Genomic DNA, 23,691 nt, shown 5'->3' with positions numbered 1-23,691 from the left:
ATTCTCATAAACAGTCTAGCAGTCACCCACTGCTAGACTGTTTCTTAGAGCCTGTATTGATGAAATGATCTTCTGTACTTGGATTATCATGTTCTGACTTTGTTAGATCATCTTTGGCCCTGACTCCCTGTCACACCAGGCATAGCACAGAAAAAGAAATCGAGACATTCGCCAGGAGATGGAGAGATTACATTTACCTGAGTGTAGCAAGGAAGGCTTATTGGAAGCAGAGAGATTTGACTTGGCTCTTGAAGGATGAGAAGAATATGGATAGAGTCAGTGAGAAGCATCTTGTAGGATGAAGGAAATAGCATACTTTCCCCATGAGGACAATCAGAGAAGTAGGATTCTGGATGGAAGTTGTGAACTGAAGCGTGTGAATAGCCAGGGTTGGAGGGAGTTTAGGATGTTTGAAGTGGTTGTAGTTGCTCTGTTTGGAAATGCTAGTTGTTTATTTGAGCTGAGGGAGATTATGACAAAAAGCTTTTTGAAAACAATGAATCTGGCAGAGCATAGGGTGAGTTGGAGTTGAGAGATAGAAGACTATTGTGACAGTCATTGGAGATGTTCCAACATAGGCTAGTGACAACTTTGCAAATGTTAAGGGAGAATGAAGCATTAAACATGGAGTAGATGGAATTTTAAAGTCCCTTCCAGCCATAAGTTACAGAAGTAGAGTAGAATACTAGGCTATGAAGTCACATTGTCTAATTTGCATGCTGGTTCCACCACTACTGACTATCACCTTGGGTGAATTACTTAGTTCTAAAAGTCCTCAGCTGGGTGCAGTGGCTCACGCCTATAATCCCAGCACTTTGGGAGGCAGAGGCGGGAGGATCACGAGGTCAGGAGTTCAAGACCAGCCTGGTCAACATAGTGAAATCCCGTCTCTACTAAAAATACAAAAAAAAATTAGCCGCACGTGGTGGTGGGCACCTGTAGTCCCAGCTACTTGGGAGGCTGAGGCAGGATAATCGCTTGAACCTGGGAGGTGGAGGTTGCAGTGAGCCGAGATCGCGCCACTGCACTCCAGCCTGGGTGACACAGCAAGACTCTGTCTCAAAAAAATAAAAATAATAATAAAAAAAGTCCTCCATGGCTTTTCTCATCTGTAAAACAGGAAAACTTTTAGAATTTATTTCATCATATTTGTGTAAGATTTAAACAGTGTACATATGTGAAGCCCTTAGCATAAGACATCACACAGATAAGACCTCAATACATGTTTGCCTGCACTGTGCAGTTTATAGACATTGAGGTTTTAAACTGTGTTAATACAAAGGGGAGAAAATGGGCTAGGTGGAAAAAACAGCGCTGAGGTAAAATTCACAGGATTTGTAACTCATTAAATGCAGATCAAAGTGAGGCAGAGGACCAGGAGAAATTAACAAAAACTCAACATTGTAAGTAAGAGTGCTTAACTATGACGATTAGATTCCTTCTTTTCAAAATTAGAAAGGGAGGCCCCACCCCCATAATATTTTCCTTTTCTAATTGACATAGTTAAAACATATAACTTAAATTTATGAATTCAGAATACATTTTTTCGTGAACAGAATTGTTTATAAATTGCCTGCTTCTATTTTGGGGAAAAAATAAGGCATTTGACTTTTTCCCATCTGAGTAACAAATCTTAGACAAAAGTGATCTTCCCCACATTCCTATGGACACTGAACAAGCATTCAGTACTTAGTGCAACAGCATAGACTAGTGGTAGGAAGGAAGATTGTAATGAGGACGCCCAGACACTACTTTTTATCTTATCCAGGGCACATTTTAGTTTTAAGCTACACTTAGAACAAAATTATCTATAGCTGTAGTAACAGACTATTTGACAAAATAAAACTGGTTTAAGGTAATTTTAAGTACCTCGTGGCTTGTTTACTAATTACTAGAATCTTTGAGAAGTACTTATTTCTTTCTCTTTTGACTGCTGTAAGGAATAATCACATATTCAAATGTTTTTTAAAAAGTATTTCCTTTCCTTCAGTTGAAGACTTCAGCTATTTTAAATAAATTATGTCTCAAGAATATTAGTTTAATTTGTATCATGGGGGCTAATGGTATTAATTTTCCTGCATCAATTTTTTTTATCCAGATAGGTGCTATATATCAACACTTACGTACACTAGGAACACTATAGAGGCAAATAAAATTAATTCAGAATCAGATCCTGAATTTAGAATTGTATAATCAAACATGTATACAACTTATAGAATATGGAAAAATATGCTGTATTACCAATATGGACCAAAGAATAAATGCTGTATTACCAATATGGACAAAATAAATAAATGCTATATTACCAATCTAAAGAGCCATGGAAGCAGAGAGGATAGAGGGATTAAACTCCTTTGAGAAAAAAAAATCCTTGCAGGATTTTGTACTTAGGATATTGCCCAGCACAGACTGGACATTCAGTAAACATTTGCTTAATAAATGAATGATCTATAAATGATCTCCCAAATCTTTGGGGTTATAAACATAACCGTTGTTTTATGACTTCTCATGGATTCCTGTGGGTTGGAATTTGGGAATGGTCTGAGCTGGGTGGTCTTTCCTAGTGTTGTGGCCAGTTGTTTGCTACAGCTAGTGCTAGAGCTGGAGGATGGGAGGTCGAAGCAGCTGGAGGCTGCCATCATCTCTCACTCTTTGTGTAGCCTCATGGCCTCTCCATGCAGCTTCTTCTTTTGGGTGGGTTTAGTCTGCCTTACAGCATGGTGGCCTCAATGCAGTCAGACTTCTTGCAAGCTTTCAGGAACAAGTATTTTAGCCAACAAAGCAGAAGCTTCTTGGTCATTAATGACCTAGACACAAAAAGTCAATAACATCATTTCTGCCATACACTGTTAGTCAAAATAGTCACAAAGCCAGCCCATTTTTAAGGTAGGAAACACAGACCATTTCTTCATGGGAATAGTGTCCAAGTCACATTTAAGAAGGGTATGTGAGATGGAGGTATTGTTGTGACTGCCTGTGGAAAACAGAATCAGCAGAGTGATTTCAATGTTCATTTTTAAGCCACGTAATGAGTGTTTCTTACACCTTTTTGTCTTTTTTTTTTTTTAACAGAATATGTCATAAAACTCTAACAAAAATTTGGAAGTGGATTTGGAATCAGAAGTCAGAGTAGATTATTTATGAACTCTCCAATTTCTACCCAGTTTTGTGTAGTGTTTCTTTAAAATTTCTAACTTTTTTAATATGTAAAGTCTTGATTTAGGCTGTGTCTATGTGACTGTGTGCTAAACAACTGCAAATAAAACAACCTGTCTAATTAGGTCACTACCATGATAAAAAAAATTAATCTATCAAATTTACTGTTTGGCATGACATAATAAGAAAAACAACAAACCAGAGAAACAAACTGAAACAAAGAAAAACAAACACACATACACAATACCCCCAAGCAAATCAAGACAAACACTTATCTCATGTGTAATTTACTTAACTCTTCATTTGTCAACATGTTTCTTTGATATGGCATAGAACACAAAATCTTATTTGACAAATAATGTGTCTCAGATTTTAGCAAAATTTTTCATCAGAGTTACAACTCAATAGATTGTGTTTTACTTTGCATGCAAAGAATCTCTTAATTCCAAGAGCTTTATGACATACAGAAAAATATTTCAGGCCAATATGATACCAGTTGGTGCACCAGGCAGACTAAGATAACTTATCACCTCTGTTCCACTTTGGATATACCTATACCAAGAGACAGTAGAAACATCAAAAAGCCAACTACTAGAAACTGTAATACCTCTAATGACTAAAAGCATGGTAGTAATTGTCTTTTGTCCATCTGATCATGGAAGTCATTCAATGGAAAATGTGAAATAACAGATGTTTCAGCAATGTCCCCTGATTTCTAGATTTTGCAGCTCACAAGGGAAATGTCAAACACTACATGCATATTATTATTTTTTAATGAGAAAAGTGAACTCCGTGATACTCTTTGGAAAATAAAAAAAATCATTATTGAAAAAAACTTACTTTTAATATTTCCTTTTTTTTTTTTTTTTTTTTTTTTGAGACAGAGTCTTGCTGTGTTGCCCAGGCTGGAGTGCAGTGGTGCGATCTCACCTCACTGCAAGCTCCGCCTCCCGGGTTCACGCCATTCTCCTGCCTCAGCCTCCCAAGTAGCTGGTACTACAGGCGCCTGCGACCACGCCCGGCTAATTTTTTGTATTTTTAGTAGAGACGGGGTTTCGCCGCGTTAGCCAGGATGGTCTCCACTCCTGACCTCGTGATCCGCCCACCTCAGCCTCCCAAAGTGTTAGGATTACAGGCGTGAGCCACTGCACCCGGCCAATATTTCCTTTTTAAAAACTAAGTACCACACTTCAAACTTAAGGAGTTTTATATGCTATGATTTGATTCGAATTTTAGGATGGAGACACAGGCTGGAAAAATATTTTTCTCCAGGTTTACCTTCATTATTATAGATAAGGGTAAAGGAGCTTATTAAGAGAAATAATAGTCTGAAAGTAGCATCCGAATGTAGACGCAGCTTATAAATAAAATATAAAATTTTACTGAAGTAATTAGTAACATCTGTAGGATACACTAGTGTTTAAGGTAGTATACTGCTTGTGGCGTCTGAAGGTTGTTTGTTGCTGAGAAACTGGATGCTGATTTTATTTTCAAGAGGGTCTTTTGTTGTTATAAATACCTCATAGCATCACAAGAAGTAACAGCTCAGCATCTATCTCTTCTACCGCAAATACCATTTCAGTTCATTCATCTCCTTCGTGTGTTCTCAGCTGCTGGATTCAGACCTGGGGAAAAGTATTTTTCTCTTTTTTTGCCGTATTTCTTACTTTGTTTTAGTTACCTCAATAGCTCTCTCTTTTTGTTCTACTTTGGAAGGTATAGCCATTAAATAAGTTCACAATTTATATTTTCTGTCTGAGGCACAGAAAAGTTTCTCAGTATTTTCTTAAAGGCACACAGGTAACCTCCTCATTTATAAAATTCAGGCATAAAGCCTATAATGCTTAAAAACAAATATCTGGTTCCTTTCCCATGGTGGCTTCAACAACATTACTGTATATATATACATATATCTCCACACAATACTGGGTGGAAGGAATCGTGTAATATAGAATTATGATTAACATATTTGCTCTGGCTCATCTTCGGGTGCTCTGTCTTAATGCCGAATGCACATGGCGGGGTAATTTTTCTAGCCCTTCACCATTCCATTCCTCAACACATGACTAAGAAGGAACGTCTGAATATGCTGAGCACTCAACGAGCAGTTCTGCATGTTCCTTATTTGAAACAGAAGCTAGCTATGAAGAAAGCTGGATGAATCAGAGTATAAGTAAAGATTGGCTCCACTTGAGCTACCTGTACTGTGAGATATCTCTTAGTTCATACCAACAATATGGTCATATTTACCAGTTGCAATTTCTAAGGCATTCTCTCATTAAATTAGTGGTTGAGCAGGTGTAGCTAAAAATGCCTTCAATCACTTCTGTGTTATTTTGAGAGAGGAGTTTTGCAAGCCATTGAAATTTAATTTTAGAATCCCATTCAGTAAGCTGGAAAATAAAAGGATGGCAAACTGGAGTTTCTGGTTTTGCTTTTACATATGGTAACACAATTAAGGCTTTTATAACCAAAGGAAAGTGATAACTGCAGAAGAAAATTGTGACAATACTAACATTTAGTAAAGTGTTTGTATACATTGTTAAACTCATTTCCATAATTCTGGAAAGAAGAGGGGGTAAACATTGCTGTTTGCATTTTATACACGTCAGTAGTATTAAGTTATTAAAGAATAAGTATATATATATACACATATATAATGAGAATATATATTTTGAATGAAAATATATACAGTACATATATGTATACACACAACTAGAATAGCTTAGCTTTTCCATTTTTTCAAACTTTCTCTTTCTCATTAATGTCTTCTTTCAAGAATTTCTTGCATATAAGCTTTCTAGAATGTTCTATATCTATTTCCATCTCATTTATCCTTCAGTTGTCATGTTTTATTCTTTGTTTTAACGGAGTAATGTTAAGAGGCCAATGGTACAGTACATAAACTGATCAGAGGGACAGAAGAAGGCATCATGAGCCTCACTATGAAACCCTTCTTAATGACATGTTCCTTATGAATCCGGCCTGCTAAAAAGTTGTTATTCAGTCAAAAGTATGTCACCAAATGGTGGTTTAAAGTGGAACACCCCACACACCCCACAGGTGTACAAATCATGCATAGAACTCTCTTCTACTTATGTTCCTAGACTTTGTCACTAACCTCACCATTGAGCAAGTAAAAGTATATCTGCTTTCCAAGAAAGCATCCACTGAGTTATAAATACTATCATATAATTTGTAGAGTAGTACAGTAATGTATATACAGTATCATTTCTCCCAAACTATTCTGAGTATGTAAAATAAATCATGAGTCATAAAATATTTGCCTAAAGTGAAAACCATCCTTCAAAAATAATTCATGAGCAAGAGTGATGTTAATTTTTAGAAAGTTTGCTGCCCTTTGAGACTATTCTTTTGCATTAGGCATAGGTCCTAAAGTGAATTGAACAAAAAGCTTGAAGATGAACAAATGTAAATTAATAAACTTAAATTTACAATATACAAATATAAATACACCTGATTGTATTTTTAGTTAATATACTAGAAAAGTATACCAAACGAAATTTCACATTACTTAATTTTCTGAGCTTGAATTTTTGCCTTTTCATGTATACAAATATATATACACAGACAAACAGACACACATACACAAGTACACTCATGCCTTGCCTTCACTGTAAATGAGCTGACATTCTGGGTTTAATTATTTTCAGAAGCCACTCTTAACTAAGACTTGATCAAAGAGGAATTTTTAAAGTATGTCTTTTAGGGTCTCCACTCATTCCTATTAGATTTCCTTCTGCTTAGGTTGCCTTTTGATGGTCAGGTTCAACATTAAAAAACATAGTTCCTATCAGGTATCATAGATGACATCTACTTTGGTTTTATTTTTTAGCAGCAAAACAGTCCATATTTTCTTTGTAATTTATCTTTGGTATAAGTATCATTCAGTTTTCTCTATGACGCCCTTTTGAAGTACATTTAAATCTTCCTTAAAATATAGTGAGCACTCTTCTAGAGAATGTCTAACTTTATTTTAGTTCCTTAGATTTGTAATACATAGCTTTAGCAATACATCTCAGCATATTACTTGTGTTTTTTTTTTTTTTTTTTTTTTTTTTTTTTTTTTGCTGAAGCTTGATGTTATGAAGAGATATTGGAAGTTTGCTTTTTTGGATAATTCCCTAGACTATATCAGATTTCTACTTAGGACTCTTGTGTCTTCTGACTGGGATAATTGACATACAATTCATATTTTCTTCATTTTATTATATTAAGAAATGGCATGAGATGATTCTAGGTTCTCACATTTTTATATACTTAATGCATTAAGAAAAAAGAAAAGTGTAATTTCTAACTAGAGGCTCAGGATGAAAAAAGGAGAGAATCGATGTCTGGCATTAGAATTGGTGGTGGGGGTCTCGGTGGGCAACACTGTCCAAAGACCTCTCATATCTGAAGGCAAGACTGCTAATAATTTTATAGTATTAAATTAGGATGCTGCCCTATCTGCTTCTGCCTTCTTTCCCAATTATGTTCATATCAAGTCCAGTAGGGAAGGAGATGTTGATTTTTTTGGGAAGCCAATCCATCATTTCTCTGAGAGTGCCAGATAGGTGCCAGGTATGGTGGAATTTGGATTCTGCCACTGCAAGGATGACATCACTTGGTGACCTCCTTCCAAGTAATCCGTTAGGTAACATGTCATACAAATTTCATCTCCTATAAACAGGGGTGGTTTTAAAGAAAACAAAAAACAACAACTGTAGAGTAAATGTTCTGTCTTAATTGTCAGATGTTTTGACCACTAAACCACTTTTAAATTCTCAGGAAGTTGTAGATCTGTGTGTGTGTGTGTGTGTGTGTGTGTATGTGTGTGTGTGTGTTCTACCAGTCCTGAGTACTGTGCTGCCTGCACTACAATCTTGGAAATGATTCCTTTCACTTCAAGATCCAAGTCATTACTGTGAATAATTAAAAAGCAGGGCTCTACCCTACTGGTAACCTCTTTCCACCTTGAAATAATCTCATTTATTGGCACTGTTGTGGTCATGTCTCTCCCTTCACCCAATTTTCAGACTCGTTTGCCAGCTCTCTGCCTATTGTGGGTCTGCACTTTAAGCACTCACTTTCCTTATTGAAATGTTTTGTGACAAGGTAAGTGTAATATTAAACGTGCATGCAGTTCCTCATCATGTTTCTCCTTTGTGCCAATTATGTATCTTGACTTAGTCTTTTGTGGCACAGGGAACTATTGTATTCCTAACTCACACAGACCCTCTTCTCCAGCAAAACTGAATATCTGGAGCACCAGCCAGTGCCCTGCAAAAAATGGTCTCTCTCCTGTCTATTAAGGTGCAAATTTAGTTATAGACTTTCCCTTTTTCATCTTGCTTAGAAATTCTATACCATCCAGTGTCTGTGTTCTTTCTAGAAGATGTCCAATAAATACCTGCTGAATTTAAATGTGTATTTCCTTCATCAAAATACTGCTTCATTATGCTATGTGAAATAAGCCAGACACAGAAAGAAAGATAACGCATGGCCTCACTTTTATATGGAATCTGAAAAAAAAAAAAAGTCAAGTACTATACATAGAGACAAAGAGTAGAAAAGTGGTTACCTGAGGTAAGGGTAGAGTAAGAAATGGGAAGATGTAGGTAAGAAGTGGCAGTAATGTAGGATGATTAAGTGTAGTGGTCTAATGTGCAGCATGAAGACTAGAGTTAATAATGTTCTATGGCGTACTGGAAATTTGTCAAGAGGGAAGATTTTAGGTGCTCTTACACATACGCACAAAAAAAGTAATAATGTGAGATGATGGATATGTTAATTTACTTGACTATAGTAATCATTTCACTATGTATATGTATATGAAAACATCATGTTGTACATCTTAACTATATGCAATAAAAAATACATAAGTTTCTTGGGGACAGGGACTGTGCATCTGAAATGTACAAATGGTATTAAATATTTTAAAAATATAGCTTTAACTGGCAAATTGGTTCAATACTTTTTTAGAAGGGTCAGATTTCTGGTTTGTTCAAAAATTCTTGCAAGTTTTCTGTTTCACATAGTAGTTCTTCAGAGGGACTCAGCTATTTTTCCACTATGTAATGACACAATTTCTGGATTCTGTAGGTCTTCCTCTGTGTATTTTATGGGGAAAAAGCATTTGTCCAGCCTGCTTCTTTGTAGAAATAACTGAAAGGGCAATAGTATGAAACTTGTTAGTTTTTAAAAAATGGAAAGAAGGGGGGTGCTTTTAATTGTATGGGAAATTTAATTAGATTTAGGCTAATTAAATTCATTTTTTATATTAACATGTTCACAAATATTATTGCATCTCGTTAGATTTCATTCTTCTAGTCTTACTGAACAATATTCAGTAGTAGTTTCAGATTACAATAAGTTCATTATGAAGATAAGGTGGAATTAGTGTAGGAAGCTCAGCTGGTTGAAGGGGTCTGTACTTTAATTACTGCAGAGGGTGTGCATATTAATTACAACACAAGTGATATTTACTGTACCTCAGGAACATATGACAGGGTAAAGATACTGACAGCACCAGCTAATAAACTCAGTATGATAATGAGGAGAAAAGACCATAAAAATAGAAGGAAATAAAATTATTCATAAAGTATATTGATCCCAAAGTAAAGACATTAAGCTCTGATGAAGGGCAACAAAAGGGAAGCTCCTCACTTTATCAAACAAATAACCAAAGTAGAGAAATGTTAGCAGGGAGACAGATTGTCATTATACTGGTCACATGATCACACCCCAGAGAGTACACAGGAGCCATAAAATGGGAGATTTTTAATAAATCAGCAGAAAGCCATACTGTCACCTGCAGGAACTGAGGTCGCAATGGCTAAGGACAGCTCCTTAGAGTAGAGAAGTCAGATCTGCTGCAGCATAAACTGGAAGGAACCACATGCATACAAAATTGGGTTTAAGAGCCACTGTCCTCTCTGGAAAAGCAAGGGGGGAACCTAGGAATGCTGTGAGAATTACTCTCAGTAGCAACCTGGAGGCCATCACCTACTTCTCTCTGCAGTTTTAGATCACCAGCTATGATTTTGAGGTGGCCAAGGGGAGCGGTAGGGGTTGGTTGGGTAACTTTTCCCAGGAAATGCTCAATTCTGCTCTGATTCTGTCTAAATCCATATGGCTCAAAGGAAAGTTCAAATTTTGTCTGTAGTGACTAAATTTGAGGCTTGGCTTTGTTTTGTTTTTACATGGGCCTTTCAAAGGGATGGTCATTCTTTTTTTATGATTATTTCGTCAGCTACCTAACATTTATAAACAACCTCATTTTAGAAAGCAAGCAGCTGAATTACTAATTTTTATTTTACATCAAATAAAATATAGTTTACATCAAATATAGTCAGGTTTTTGATAAGTACTTGTTATTTTGGTGGCTTATTCGCCCAAATCCGCCACAGATTGTGCTCATAGTTGACTTATCATGGATAGAAAGTACAATAGTTACCAATTTAAAATAATTTTTATCTTAATGCATGGGAATAATATTGACGACTCTTGAGATAAGTTAATTTTATGAGGAAAGTATTTTTGTGGGTATAGGGATAAATAATGATGTTAATATGTATCTCATCTATGTGATAAATATTTTGTATGTGTGAACTTAAATCGATATAGTAAGTGAAAATGCAGTTCTGGTTAAAACACCTCGAAAGCATAGTAGTGAACCTAGAGCAAATGGAATAAAGGGCATACCCAGGACATTGTGGAATCTGGATCTCCATCTTGGTAGCACCATTAGAGTTGTTTGGAGACAGAACACAGAAGTGGAGATTCTTCATTTTGGTTGAAATTTATAAAATCGTGAATTGAAAGGATTAGATACTAAATTACAGCATGAAATTATGGAAAATCTCACTTTGCAACTTAGGCAAGACAAATAATAGGAAAAATTAACCAATTAACTCAGATCTGAAATGTTTTATGTTTCCTGTGGCAGAAGAGAGGATAACCCTAAACACAGTCATCCCTTGTTTTCTATTTCCCATTCTGTTCTTTTCAGGGCCTTATTCCATTTATTCCTAATATTCCAATCTTTTCATGCTAGCCTTTTTATTTTTTTGGTGGTGGGATCAAGAGGTTATTCACTCACATTAAGGTGCAACATATCCGGAAATATTTTTATTTTGAGAGCAATGCTTCAAGAAATCGCACATGTTATAGTTTGACTATCAGTGAAATAGTTATGCATAAGCAAAGGATTCAACTTAAATTACTTAAATATATGAAATAGTTATAAACATGGCCCACATAAAAGGCCAGGCATAGCCAGAACATGGAGTAAAGAGGTGATGATATGGTTCATAATTGTTATTGTTTTGTACTGGCTTATTTTCACCAATATATGTGTCATATTATGATACTAAGACACCAAAGCTGTAGGACTATATAATACCTCAAACAAGAACTTGGGGTGTCCAATAAATATTTAATGGATGAATGATGAAATGATTGAATGATTAAATGAATATACTTCAGTTGGTAGTTTCATCAATTCTTGAAAATTACCACTAGTGCTTCTGTTGTACCTAGTGAACTGGCTTCTGTTTTTAACAATGGTGTTTGGCTTTTTGTGCTGGCATTCGCTAATCACAATATCTCTGTCATCACCTGAGATGTAAATGCTGGCCAGAGTGGATTGCCGCCGTCGGGTGGCTAGGCCCTTTCTTGGTGTTTCAATGTAAAGGATATAGGTGATAATGGGATGCACCTGTGATGAAACCTGGGCCGTGAAGCTGTCTGCAGCTTGCCCTTTGAGAGTTTCAAACAGTTTTATGATCATATAAATAGCTTTAGCAGACTTTCAATTATCAAGATGTTAATATATGTATACATTTTGTCCAAAATATCCTGAAGCTTGAAACCAAAAGAATGGTTTAGGTGCACACCAATTATATGTATGTGATCCTCAGGAACAGATGGGAGATTCCAAATCTACATCCCTAATCAACTAGGATTTAGGCTAGGCTACTTACTAGAATTCAAGAATCAGAACCTTTGGAAAAATAGGGGGAAGATTTATTTTAAATGATGTTGAATCTAATTCTGATTTTCTCTTTGAGCTTTATTGGCTTCTGCTATAGGTTTACTTCTTTTCGTCAAAGTTTCTAGTTTTTATTATTATATTTCCTGGTCCCTCTCACTAAATTGTTGCCCTTGTGCCATCTCATTTGTCCTTAGTTTCTTCCTCTTCCTCCTGTACATTGCTTCAAGGATCTATAGTTCATTGTTCACCATTATTACTCATTCTCCTCCTATCAAATCTGGTTCTGATACTTATTTCAGCAAATTATGCTTTCTCTTTTTTATGTTTCTACTTTAATGGCTAAGTTTTCAACTTGACACTCTGGAACTGCTCTTTTCTAACACAGGAAGAGTTGAGTTTATTGAGAATTTGGTTTAGGGACATCTATTGATGTCTGAGAAAGGAGAGTAGTCCTTAGCTTCCCTCACTTATTTATTCTGTGAATAATGGGGAGACACAGAATGTTTGATTCAAATATCAAGTAGACATGAATTCTGATGTTCAAATGTGTTCATAGAAAGCAGGGAATTTAGGAATTAAAATACCAGTGAGACAAAATGGGTTGTATCACCTGAAGATTGGGGTAACAGCCTACATCAAGTTAAGAAAATCATTATCTTAAATTTGAAATACATGTAAGGACAGTCTCATATTGGCTGCAATTAAATGTTTAAATTTAAACAAAATAAGTGACATTTAAAACTATGTATATTATATATAAAATGTGCTTTGTAATCTCCACAATTATAGAGAGCCACAAAATCCTTATGTCTCAACTACACAGAAAATCTTGTTAATTTTCATTGCAGTAAAGCAAAACTTGTGGAAAGTCCCCAAAGCATTTGAACCTTAGTGCAGGGTTTAACTCCTCTCAGTGCTTCAAACTCTGAGTAATTTAATAGATTAAAGTTTTAGAAGGTTAAGTTTTAGTTATAAACAAATTTATGTTTTTGTATGTTGATAATTAGAAAAAAGTATTTTGTGAAAGTCTGAGGAAGCAAGATTGAATAGATAATTAAAAATCACAAAATTCTAACCAATAAGTGAGATGGATATGATTGTTCATGCCTATTCTGTTTCTTAGACTTTGTAAATTTTCATGAATCTCTTTCTTTTTTTTTCCCCCAAGATCATGTTGTCTATTTATTGCCACAAAGTAGGAGTCGTAGTCAAGGTTTCCTGTAAGTCTTAGCTGTACTGCTTCAAAGACTGTGTTAAAATAATAATTCATTGAGCAACCTCAAAGATGCTTCATATAATAGTGTTAATGAGCAATAAAGGAACAAAAAAGGGAACCTATGATGGAGAATTAGCAAATCTCTTAGAAATTGCCAAATTGACCAGCGTCACTAGGAACCACTGAGAAAAGTGAAGGTGTTGTGTTTGGTATGTGACTTTGTAATAACCAATATCAAAACAAAAAATGTTTGATTTCATTTGGAAAGGATCATTTTTCCTGTTACCTTTTCTGAAACAATCCTCACCCTCTGTTCCCTCATTCCTGTTACAATTAGTCATTACCTACTGTTGCTTGTGATTTGTTGGCAGTCTATAGCTGCAATCTGTTGCTCTGTGACAGATCGATTCGTTCAGCCCACAGACTCATTCCTGAATTCAGCCAAAATGAATATATATATATATATATATATATATATATATATATATATATAATGTATATGTATACAGCGTGTATATAGAAAAGAAAAAGTCCAAGGTACATTGTTTTAGCTAATGTGGCAAATTATTCTTCCAAAAGGATCTTCTTAAAGGACACTCTTAATGAACCCTACATGTATTTAAACATGTGTGAACAACACTAAGCAACCCCCTATGTGGAATGGGCTCAGAGTCCACATGTGTAGACTGTGGAATTTGAAGTATGTTTGTTTAGCATTATCACTTTTACAGGAGACAATTTCAATGCAATATTTTAGTTATAGAAGAGTAGTTACTGCTGAGCCTACTGAAGAGAATTTGTAGAAACCCTGTTGTTTATACCCACACACATGTAGATGTATATACACACCACTAAGTTTAAATAATCCCAGTAAGATTCATATTGCTCCGGTTTTTCAGCAAAAGAAATTATAGTTTAGTCGCAATCAATTTAACAGTCAGAGCTTTGGTGTAGCAAAATATGTGCTTCGTAGCCCTTCAAAATTTACGCAGTTTGTACATATAGATATGTGCTGTATATATTTTGAAGTGATACGTATGTTGAAATTTTTTCTTCACTTAAAACCGTGCTGCATAATTGATTGGAAGAGTTACTCTCATTACAGTCTATTTTTGCAGCAAAGCAGAGGCTATTTGAGATGCTTGTGGGTTTTTTTTTTAAATGCTTAACTTTATTGCAAGGAAAGGAAAAACTAGTCATTATATAGCAAGATGCTATTCGTTTTTGCTTTGTTCTGAACAATGCTGAATTAAGTAACATCACTTCATGACAAGATAAATAAATAAAAAAGATTTTCCCTATTAGCTTTTAGTATCACTCTTGTCTGACTCAGTAAGACCTTCTTTGGTGAAGATCTATACACACACACACATACTCATTGACATTTACAAAATATGTAGTCTCTTCAGTTTGCTATCTCATAAACCCCAGGAAGAGCTTACTTCTGAACATTTCTATATAATAGGGTCACCTCAATAGTAAGGCCTGGACCACAAGAGTTGCCAAATTAAGAAAACTGGTTGGCTCTTGGGGAAAATACTGCTGAAAAAAAAGGCAGATGTTTCACTGTACGCGATACATTGGTGATCACTCTCAGTCTGTCAGCATGCATTTTCTCAAAGTATAAACTATCCTCTGCTTTGGTTCCTGTTTTCATTTTGAGTTTTTGAAGAAGTCCCCTTGTCTGGCTCCAGGGAAACTACAAACTTTCCTCACTCTAAAAATAAGACAAGATAGTCATTCACGAGAAATTACTCTAACCACTCAAGAAATACTTATAAAGAAATTTTTTTTCAAGCACACTTTGGAAGGAGACTGTGAGTTTTATGGTCATTATACAACTTAACAAATAAATTCATGATAGCTGAAACAGAATTTAAACAATGTACAAAAGCCATAGGGGCTAGTAAATAGCACAGGCAGGATTACATTGCAAAATGCTTGCATTTTCAGTCTGATTACTCTTTCCACTAAATCTTTTTATGCAGGAAAGAAAAAGATTATTAAACATAAGTATTGTGAAAATTGAGTGAAAATGTTACTCCAAGTAACCAAAGGATATAGAAAGGGGCAGCTCTGTTATATTTTGTTTTACATTATTATTGCCTCTGTAATCATTTAAGATAATCTTTTTTTAAAATAAAGTTTTTTTACAATTATATAATTTTCAGAATTAAGATTAGAAAAATTACTTAGGTGAATACAAGAATTCATTGAAACATTACATGAGATTAAAGTCTACTTTCGACACGATTTCATTACACATGGACTCTGAAGACTTTATCAAATTATCTGGATTTTACTAGATCTGAATAAATAGCAGCAACGCGCAGAGAAACTAATTCAAACATATTCCTTTGTTCTGGTAAATTACTACATATGCCTCTAGCTCCCTTGTATCTGAGGTTCTATAAAAAAGATTTTTTTTGCCCTTCCAGTGTGTTTTATCCACCATTTAAAAACACATTTAAAATATATTGCAATTGCGTGAGAAGTGACATAAATACATTTGGTGATTAATATTTATTTGATCAACTGTGAGTGCAACAATATGACTTCTAATTTGAAACCACACAAGCTTCCTTTTCAGCAATCCTGCCTTTCAAAGCCTTTCATTTGCTACATCACAGGCTGATCTTGGAAAGAGAACCTGTCAGATGTACTTTTTCCTACTTTTTTTCCAACTTGAACTGTTGAAATGGGGGAGTAAGCATTTAGCCCTATTTCCAGGTGTACCATATTGAAACTTATAAAAAAAAAGTGTAAAGTGTGTGGGGGAATGGAGAATCTCTTGAACTGAAGGCCTGTGGGTGATTCCTGACATCTTGGCCTGTTAAAACATGTTGTAGAGTATGTATATTTGAAGGCCTGTATGTACATTATCTGCAATATACAAACACATCCACATACACGTTCTGCAAAAAAGGCAAGAATGGATGTCAAGGAAACATCTCCCAATATTAAATAAAGATCCTGTTCCTTTTTATATTATTATTCCTATTGTTTTATTTCTATCCCCTATTCTAGCGGTGTCCTTTGTGGCACTTCAGCTATGATGAGATGGGCGGGCGAGCAGCTTCCTCCAGAATTGACGCCAGCTGGTTTGGAAGACTGGCAAACCCTCAACTCTCCCTCTATCCACCACGTTAGAGATTGACTTTATTATCTGCTGTAGCTCCATGCCATGCCCAGTCTCTAAAGGCCCAGAATGCAGACATGTAACACAGCCCTATTCACCATTGCATTTATTTTGATTTAGTCATAACTTCAGGAATTGCCTTTTAACAACAACTACAAAAATGTGAGGGTCATCCACTTCTAATGCTGGAAACCCTGTGATAATCTGTTCCATGCATTCAAATGAAAATATGACTTCTTGGCAGAGAATAGCATTATAATGTAAAATCCCATATGCTGTTATACAGTATGTTGCAATCTGTTTTACGGCTGCCTCTATTCTAACGAGTGAATACTGCCAATAAAGCAATTGAAGATAACACTAATTGCTTATTTCTGTGATCCATAATTTTTATGGCTGCCTTATAGCTCTTTAGTCAAATAGATGCTTTTTGGCCTTTAAGATCTAGAACTCATGTACTGTAGCAATTGAAACTGGAAATGCACATGCTGGTCTGAGAGGCTTTTCTGTACTTGATTAATAGGATGCAGCAGAAAAATAATTGAAAGATGTGAAAGAAAATAGAAGTCTTAAATCAGCTCTAACAGGTAAACATTAGATTTGATCAATATTTAGATCACTTTAAATAAATAAATAATTATATGGCTGTGTATAAAATGAAATTAGGCTGTAAGGTCTTCTCTGGCTTTGATGCATTTGGGGGCCTGTTGAGCACAAAGGTGACAGTGGAAATCATGGTTGTGTGTGAGCACAGCTAACTGAGATGAAGATCACATCTGACCCTGGGCTTTGCCACATATTGACCATGTGACTGTGTGATCTTGAGCCAGTGATTCAACATTTTTGAGTTTAGGTTCCTCTCAGAAATGCTAGGATGACTCAATGGATGTGAAAGCACTTTGCTAACTGTAAAGTATTAGACACTCTGTTAGTGATTATCTGTGCCTGATCCCTGTTTGGGGCCATTATGACATGCTTTCTCATGGATAACCTTATAGAAACCCAAAATAATACTGTAGTTGTCCAAGAACATATGCAGTCCTTTGCTACTCAAAGTGCAGCCTGTGGACTGGTAGCATCAGCATCACCTGGGAGCGTGTTAGAAATGCACAATCCCAGGCCCCACCCTGGACCCACTAATCAGAATCTTCATTTTATCAAAATCTCCTGGTGATTAGTATGCACATGAAAGAATTGAGAAGCCCTGATCTAGTCTAACTTATTTCATACAAAAGAAAGGTGACATTCAGCAAAGTGAAGTGGTTCACAAGAGGTCACATAGTATGCTCAGAACTAAGCCACGATGACAGCCCAGGTCCTCTGACCCTAAGTCTAATCCATGATGTCTCCACCACAAAATACAGAGGATTTCATTTTATCTTGTGACAGATTTCATATTGACTATGTCGGCCCAAAAGTGGGTAATATATTTGTAGCCTAAAATAGGGTAAGTCTAAAAAGTCATAGGTTTCTGCTTGCTTTGGTCAAATAGTAAAATAAAAATCAAAGCAAATAATCAATAGGTTGTATTACTGAGCTTAAATTGTATGCAAAAAGTATCTAGAATACTCCTAGATTTCTATTTATAAAGTTCATTAGATACATTCTTAAATTTCTCAGATTGAAGGATTTAACATATATGCTCTTAAATTCAGAAAAGATGCAACTGCAATGATCACAGGGACCTAGTATTCAATTTTTATATTTGTATCCAGCATTCTAGCTATTATGATCTTTTTGGTAGAAAAAAAGAGATGATGATTATGTATAATAAATATATTTCTCCTATTCAAAGAGTAATACACAAAGCACTGTGCCCAAAGAGAGGTGCCAAAGGATCTTACAAGCAATAGCTTAAAAATGCTCACAATTCCCTGATAAGATATACACATAGGTATGCAGTTTTGAAAAATACCACTAGATTGGTTTCATTATACACACACAAACACACATCGTATATACTATGTTATTAGACACTCTTGTAATATTTCTTACATTTATTAAGAGTTGAATGGATGGAACAGGAAGGCATTATGTTAGGTTAAATAAGCCAGACACATAAAGACAAATATCACGTGTTCTCATTCATATGTGGGAGCTAAAAAAAAAAGAAAAAAAAATTGAACTCACGGAGATAGAGAATAGAACTGGTGCTTACGAGAGGGTGGGAAGAAAGCAGGGAAGCCCATATGCAGTGGGGATGGTTAATAGGTACAAAATACGTTAGATATAATGAATAAGATCTCATATTTAGTAGCACAATACGGTGACTATAGTTAACAATAATTATATAATTTAAAATTACTAAAAGGGTGAAATTGGAATGTTCCTAACACATAGAAATGGCAAATGCTTGAGGTCTGTATACCCCAATTACCTTGATACTTTGTATGCCTGTATCAAAATATCCCATGTACGCTGTGAATATATACAACTATTATGTGTTCATAATAACTAAAAATAAAAAATTTAAAAAAGAAGAAAGTCACTAAAGTCTATTTTTTTTTTAGAAAAACTTGAATACTATGAACCACATACACATTATTATCTCATTTAATCTTCACCAAAATTTGATGGGGTACTGTTATCCTCATTTTATAGATGTAATGAGGAGCCTGGGGTTGAGGGAGGTCAAGAAAAGAACTTGCCCAAGGATACATAGCCAGCAAGATAAAACAAAGAGAGAAAGTTAATGTGAGGTTTAAGTGGACCTCCCAAATCAAAGTTGTGACTTGAAAGTAAGACTTTTGAGTTCTAACTTCTTAAATCCTGGTTTAATGTGGTCTCTTTGGATGTGAACCTCTACCATGACTTCCTGCAGTCGTATTGAGGTGGTGGTGGCCTTTTCTTCCTTTTGTACTAAGCACATAGATCTGTGAAACCACTGGCGCCTCTTGTCTAAGGAGTCAAGGTCTAGAGGTGTCTGTAGCTGGGGAAGGAGCCTTCAGCTGCTCTGCTCTTCGCAGTCAGACATTGCCTCCCTGAAGATTCAGAGTCCAGGTTCTTGGTTCAACAATTCTACTTCTCTAGTTCTGAGATTGATAATGAACAAGTGCTGCAATAAAAAATGCCAACATACTTGAGAATATTCTTAATGAAATCAGTTTCACAGGCTTTTGTAGAGAAGTACTGAAGCTGGGGAGGGGAGACAGAGCTAGCCAAAATATTTCTAGGTAGAGCTGTGGGAGCTTTATATCCGAAGGTGCAGAACTGAAGAGACATGATTGAGAGATAAAGGAGCAGGAAGAGACAACCTTTACTAGTAATTGCAGAGACAGTCTAAATAAAGTAGCAATTAATAAGCCAAATGATAAAATGATTGATCTAGAGCTTTCTCTCTAGCTTTCTTTTTTTAAGGAAACACAAGCAAACTTCAAATGTTCACTCCCATTTTATATGACACATCCTGCTCCTTGCTGATAGCCTTATGTGTGGAACCTCTAAAGCTGTACCTTGCCAAATGTTAACTAACAGTGTATGCTGAAACCTCATTATGAAAGGGGTATAATAAGAAAATAAGGAATATTGCAACCAGCTGTAACCTATAACATTCTAGTAACTATCTTGTTATAAGAGATAAACCCTGATTACTAAATTCCAACACTTTGTAATACCTCAGAGGAAAAAAATAAAAGATAGCAGTTTTTCTTGCACTTGTTTTTCTTTATATTAGATTATTAGATTCTATATTATCTTAGAGTTCTAGGTTTAACTATCTGATTTTTTAAAGTACTGGAGAAAAGATCAATTTATCTCCACCCCCTAACATATTACTTGAATATATACTAGTATTTGTGATACTTCCTTACAAAGGAATTAATACTTCCCTATGCAAGTATTAATGACATTTTTTAGAGAAAAGGAAAGAGTAGTAAGTCATCTCTTGGATCTAAAACAAATGTAAACCACCTCAAAGCTTTTTTCTTAGAAGAAACCTCATGCGATGTGCACCATATCAAGATTATAGACACAGAATTATACCGCACTCTTTTTTATTTAAATCCAGGTGTAATTTGTGAAACCTTTCTGCTTCATTCTAGAAATGAAACTCTAGCATTGCCTTCATGTTGGGCTCTGATCAGTTTGGTTTTTCAGATACACCAAGGGGCTTTTATTTCATATCTTTGTGAAATTGACTAGTTTCTAAAGTTATTCTTCTATTATAATTTAACACATTAAGAGAATAGAAAAAAGAGAGATAGTGTGGTATTATTTTATTACTACATAAAACTCCACTGTCAGAATGGAAAATATAGGAAAAGCTTGGCACACAGATGGCTAAAAAGTTAAAGCTGAGTAAATGATCAGAGAGAGAAAAACAGAACAGTATTGAGTCTATGTTCCTCCATATTATTTTGTATGCATATCTTTGAATTTGAAATTCAAATAAGGAATATATATATATATGTAATTGCAAACAATTTTTTGATAAACAAGTAGGCCAGATATCCAAATGAGAAGATGCCGTTTTGCCCTCTCATTCCATTTGATAACAGAAGCCCTTGTGTCACCTTATGTTATAGGAATGGAATTATAGGGATTAATATGAACAAAGTTAACCCCTTTTAACTTACTATCGCATAATGTTTTCAGCTTCCATGCCATGAGGATTCTGGGCAGTGCAGGGTGGGGGAGATTGGAGGGGTGCAGAGGAAAGGAAGATGTGAAGGGAGAGGAATAATAGAAACCTTTTTAATATATTGATGTGAAATGAGAAGTAATTCAGAAATGCAATTTAGTGATGACCTCTCCTCTGGGTGGATATGAAAAGCAGCCTTGTTTTCTTTTATAAAGAAATGCTGGCATGCTTGACTTTAGTGAATCAAGAGAATTGTTTGGCAAATAACAGTGATGGTGTGTGTCCTTGTCAGAACACCTGCTGTATTCTCCCAGCAAACGCTGGGGCCACGGCGTCTCTCCTCTAATGACACCTCATCAATCCGCTCCTATCAATGTCCCAGCCATGGAGGTGACTTCGAGTGCTCAGAAGCCTTAGAAAATGTCAACGTTTTGGGAGAAAAGGTCAGTCACAGCTTCCCCCCCACCTCCCCTGCCAAGCCACCGTGGGCCTGGCGTTCATTATCCTAATTAAATCCAGCAGCTGAACATCTTCTTATCTGTAGGGGAGGAGAGCACGGGCATGATGCAATAGGATTGATTTGCATATCCAAAGTTAATTAGTGCGGAGGAGCAGGTGTACAGTAATAATAATTATCACACATGACAATCACCTGTGACCACTTCCCCGCGCCCCTTCCGGGATTCAGCACAGTGATTGCTGGCTGGTTTTTTCCTTGCTTGATACCCATCCTGAGCTGTTTATGTCCTTGTGCCTCTCTTCACAAACCTGCTGTGAGTAGATTGTCTGTTCCTTAACAGGCGCTGTATTTTTCTCTAAAGGTATATTTTCCCCTGTTTCATTTGGAGGGAGAGACTATTGTAAGGCAGCTATTTTCAATTTTGTTTGCTGAAGTTGTCATATCCTGTTGGAGCCTGGGTATTTATTTTTAGATTACATGTAAGTGGATAAGGAAAAAAAAATGCTCAGGATCATAATTTGAAAATCCCACTTTGCATCATTTGAAGATTCTATCTTGAGCATATGCTGGGAAATCAGTCTGATCCAAAATAAACTTATTAGGCAACAGACACATGAAACCAAGTGACAATTTGATGTTTGCCACAAGATTATCCATGCCAGTTTGAAGAGGGCAGAGGGAGCTGAATACAGAACTTGAATCTTCCTAGTCTGTGGACAGTGCAGTAGAATGCAGGCTGCTGATGCTCACTGGACACAAACCTGAAGAAACTGAAAAAGATTTGGGTGGGTTGTTTAGGATCTGAAGAATCCAGGGTAAACAAACAATCAAACACTAGCATGATACTCCAGTAGGAAGACGTCAAATTGTAGCCTTGAAGCAAATTCAGTGCAGCTTGCAGGATGGCTCTCATGATGCCTTCATCACAGAAAGCTTAGATAGATTACACTCTTTGGATTTAGTTTGCACATAAATGTGTAGGTTGTGCATGTTGAAAAGTGTTTTCTCTGTCAAATGAGGGTAATTTTTTCAAATTAAGCCAAAAAGCATGCCCTGGAAATTGGATGTGCCTTTACAGAAATGAATTATTGCTGTATGTTATACAGGAATTTAACAGTCACAATGGTAGGCTAATAAGTAGGTAAGAACAGAATATTAAATACAAAGAAATTTTTGTGGGTAAAAGGGAGGCATTAATGTTAAATTAGCTATGAAACTGTGAGTGTTTTTAATTTTTTTTTTTTCATTTTGACTTTTGTCTCTTTCACTTTTATTTGTCAGGGTACACTTTTGCCAATCAAGTCAAGTATAACAGGTAGGCCTCCCTTTCACACAGCTTTAATGATAAGTGACAGAGTCGGCAAAAGGCATTCAACTGCCTGCAGAATGCATTAAAAATTTAAAACTTTACTTATCAGTCTTTTATTAAAACTTTTTGTAATTGTACAAAATTATTCCCCCACTGGGTTACCTTTCAATATGGAGTACAATTATATTTCTGACACAAAATAATTATAATTTTAAAAAGCTATAAGAAAAAAGTATTATTTTTTAAAGCAAAATCCATCCATTTTACATCCATGAAGAGGTATTGCAATGAAAAGTTAAGCAATTGCTGAGCCAAAACTCCAGTTGTGAACATTTAACTTTCAGTACTAGACAGCTAGGTGGAAATCTAGAAATGTAAAAGAATTATGGCTTATGGTCAAAGACTTCCTAGTCCTTGTTTGTTTATTAAGATAATAACTTTTATGTAGTATACCTTTAATCTATCCATGTTAGTGTAGCTAAAATGCCACATCTAAATTCTTTCCAACAGGATAAAAACCATTAGTAACTGTGTTTTGGAGAATTATCTGTGTTTTTTCTACATGCCTGACATCATCTTATGTAAAGATTTTAAATTCGAGAGCTACTAGCCCTGGACAGTGCATGGGCAGAGCAACATTCTAATAATTCCCAAATCTCCACTATGGTCATCTGGTCTTTTATCTAAAATTCTATTGAGCAAGTTTCCAGAAAAACAGGTGTCCTGTGTACATTCTCCTAAGAGATAGAGATCAACACATATTCTCTTGGGCATGTTTGTGTATAAGTTGTTATAGTTGAAACTCTGGGAAATATGGAGATGAATTCATATTTC

The 23,691-nt window shown here is 35.6% G+C and overlaps 1 protein-coding gene and 1 long non-coding RNA gene across 3 annotated transcripts in view, besides 2 other annotated features; one reads left to right on the top strand and one right to left on the bottom strand.

Annotated features, from left to right (window-relative positions):
- Positions 1–445, bottom strand: part of VRK2 (VRK serine/threonine kinase 2) — a 252,329-nt gene extending 251,884 nt beyond the window's left edge. For both annotated transcript variants that reach the window (NM_001288837.2, NM_001288838.2), the window contains exon 1: positions 198–445. The gene's annotated coding sequence lies outside the window, so the exon portion shown is untranslated. The remainder of the gene's footprint in view (positions 1–197) is intronic.
- Positions 15,076–15,125: an enhancer, noted in NCBI's record as "active region_15790". NCBI's record gives its function as "activates an Ori minimal core promoter by ATAC-STARR-seq in GM12878 lymphoblastoid cells {active_cell/tissue: GM12878}" and the evidence as "EXISTENCE:reporter gene assay evidence [ECO:0000049][PMID:35858748]".
- Positions 17,451–17,500: a silencer, noted in NCBI's record as "silent region_11505". NCBI's record gives its function as "represses an Ori minimal core promoter by ATAC-STARR-seq in GM12878 lymphoblastoid cells {active_cell/tissue: GM12878}" and the evidence as "EXISTENCE:reporter gene assay evidence [ECO:0000049][PMID:35858748]".
- On the top strand, positions 21,379–22,959 carry LOC124907769 (uncharacterized). The gene is made up of 2 exons (XR_007086324.1): positions 21,379–21,531; positions 22,830–22,959. It is a non-coding gene; the product is annotated as an uncharacterized LOC124907769 (long non-coding RNA).
- Positions 22,960–23,691: the final 732 nt, after the last annotated feature.

Source organism: Homo sapiens, chromosome 2, assembly GCF_000001405.40.
Source record: "Homo sapiens chromosome 2, GRCh38.p14 Primary Assembly".
Classification (NCBI taxonomy): Eukaryota; Metazoa; Chordata; class Mammalia; order Primates; family Hominidae; genus Homo; species Homo sapiens.
This window is presented reverse-complemented; position numbering and strand designations above follow the sequence as displayed.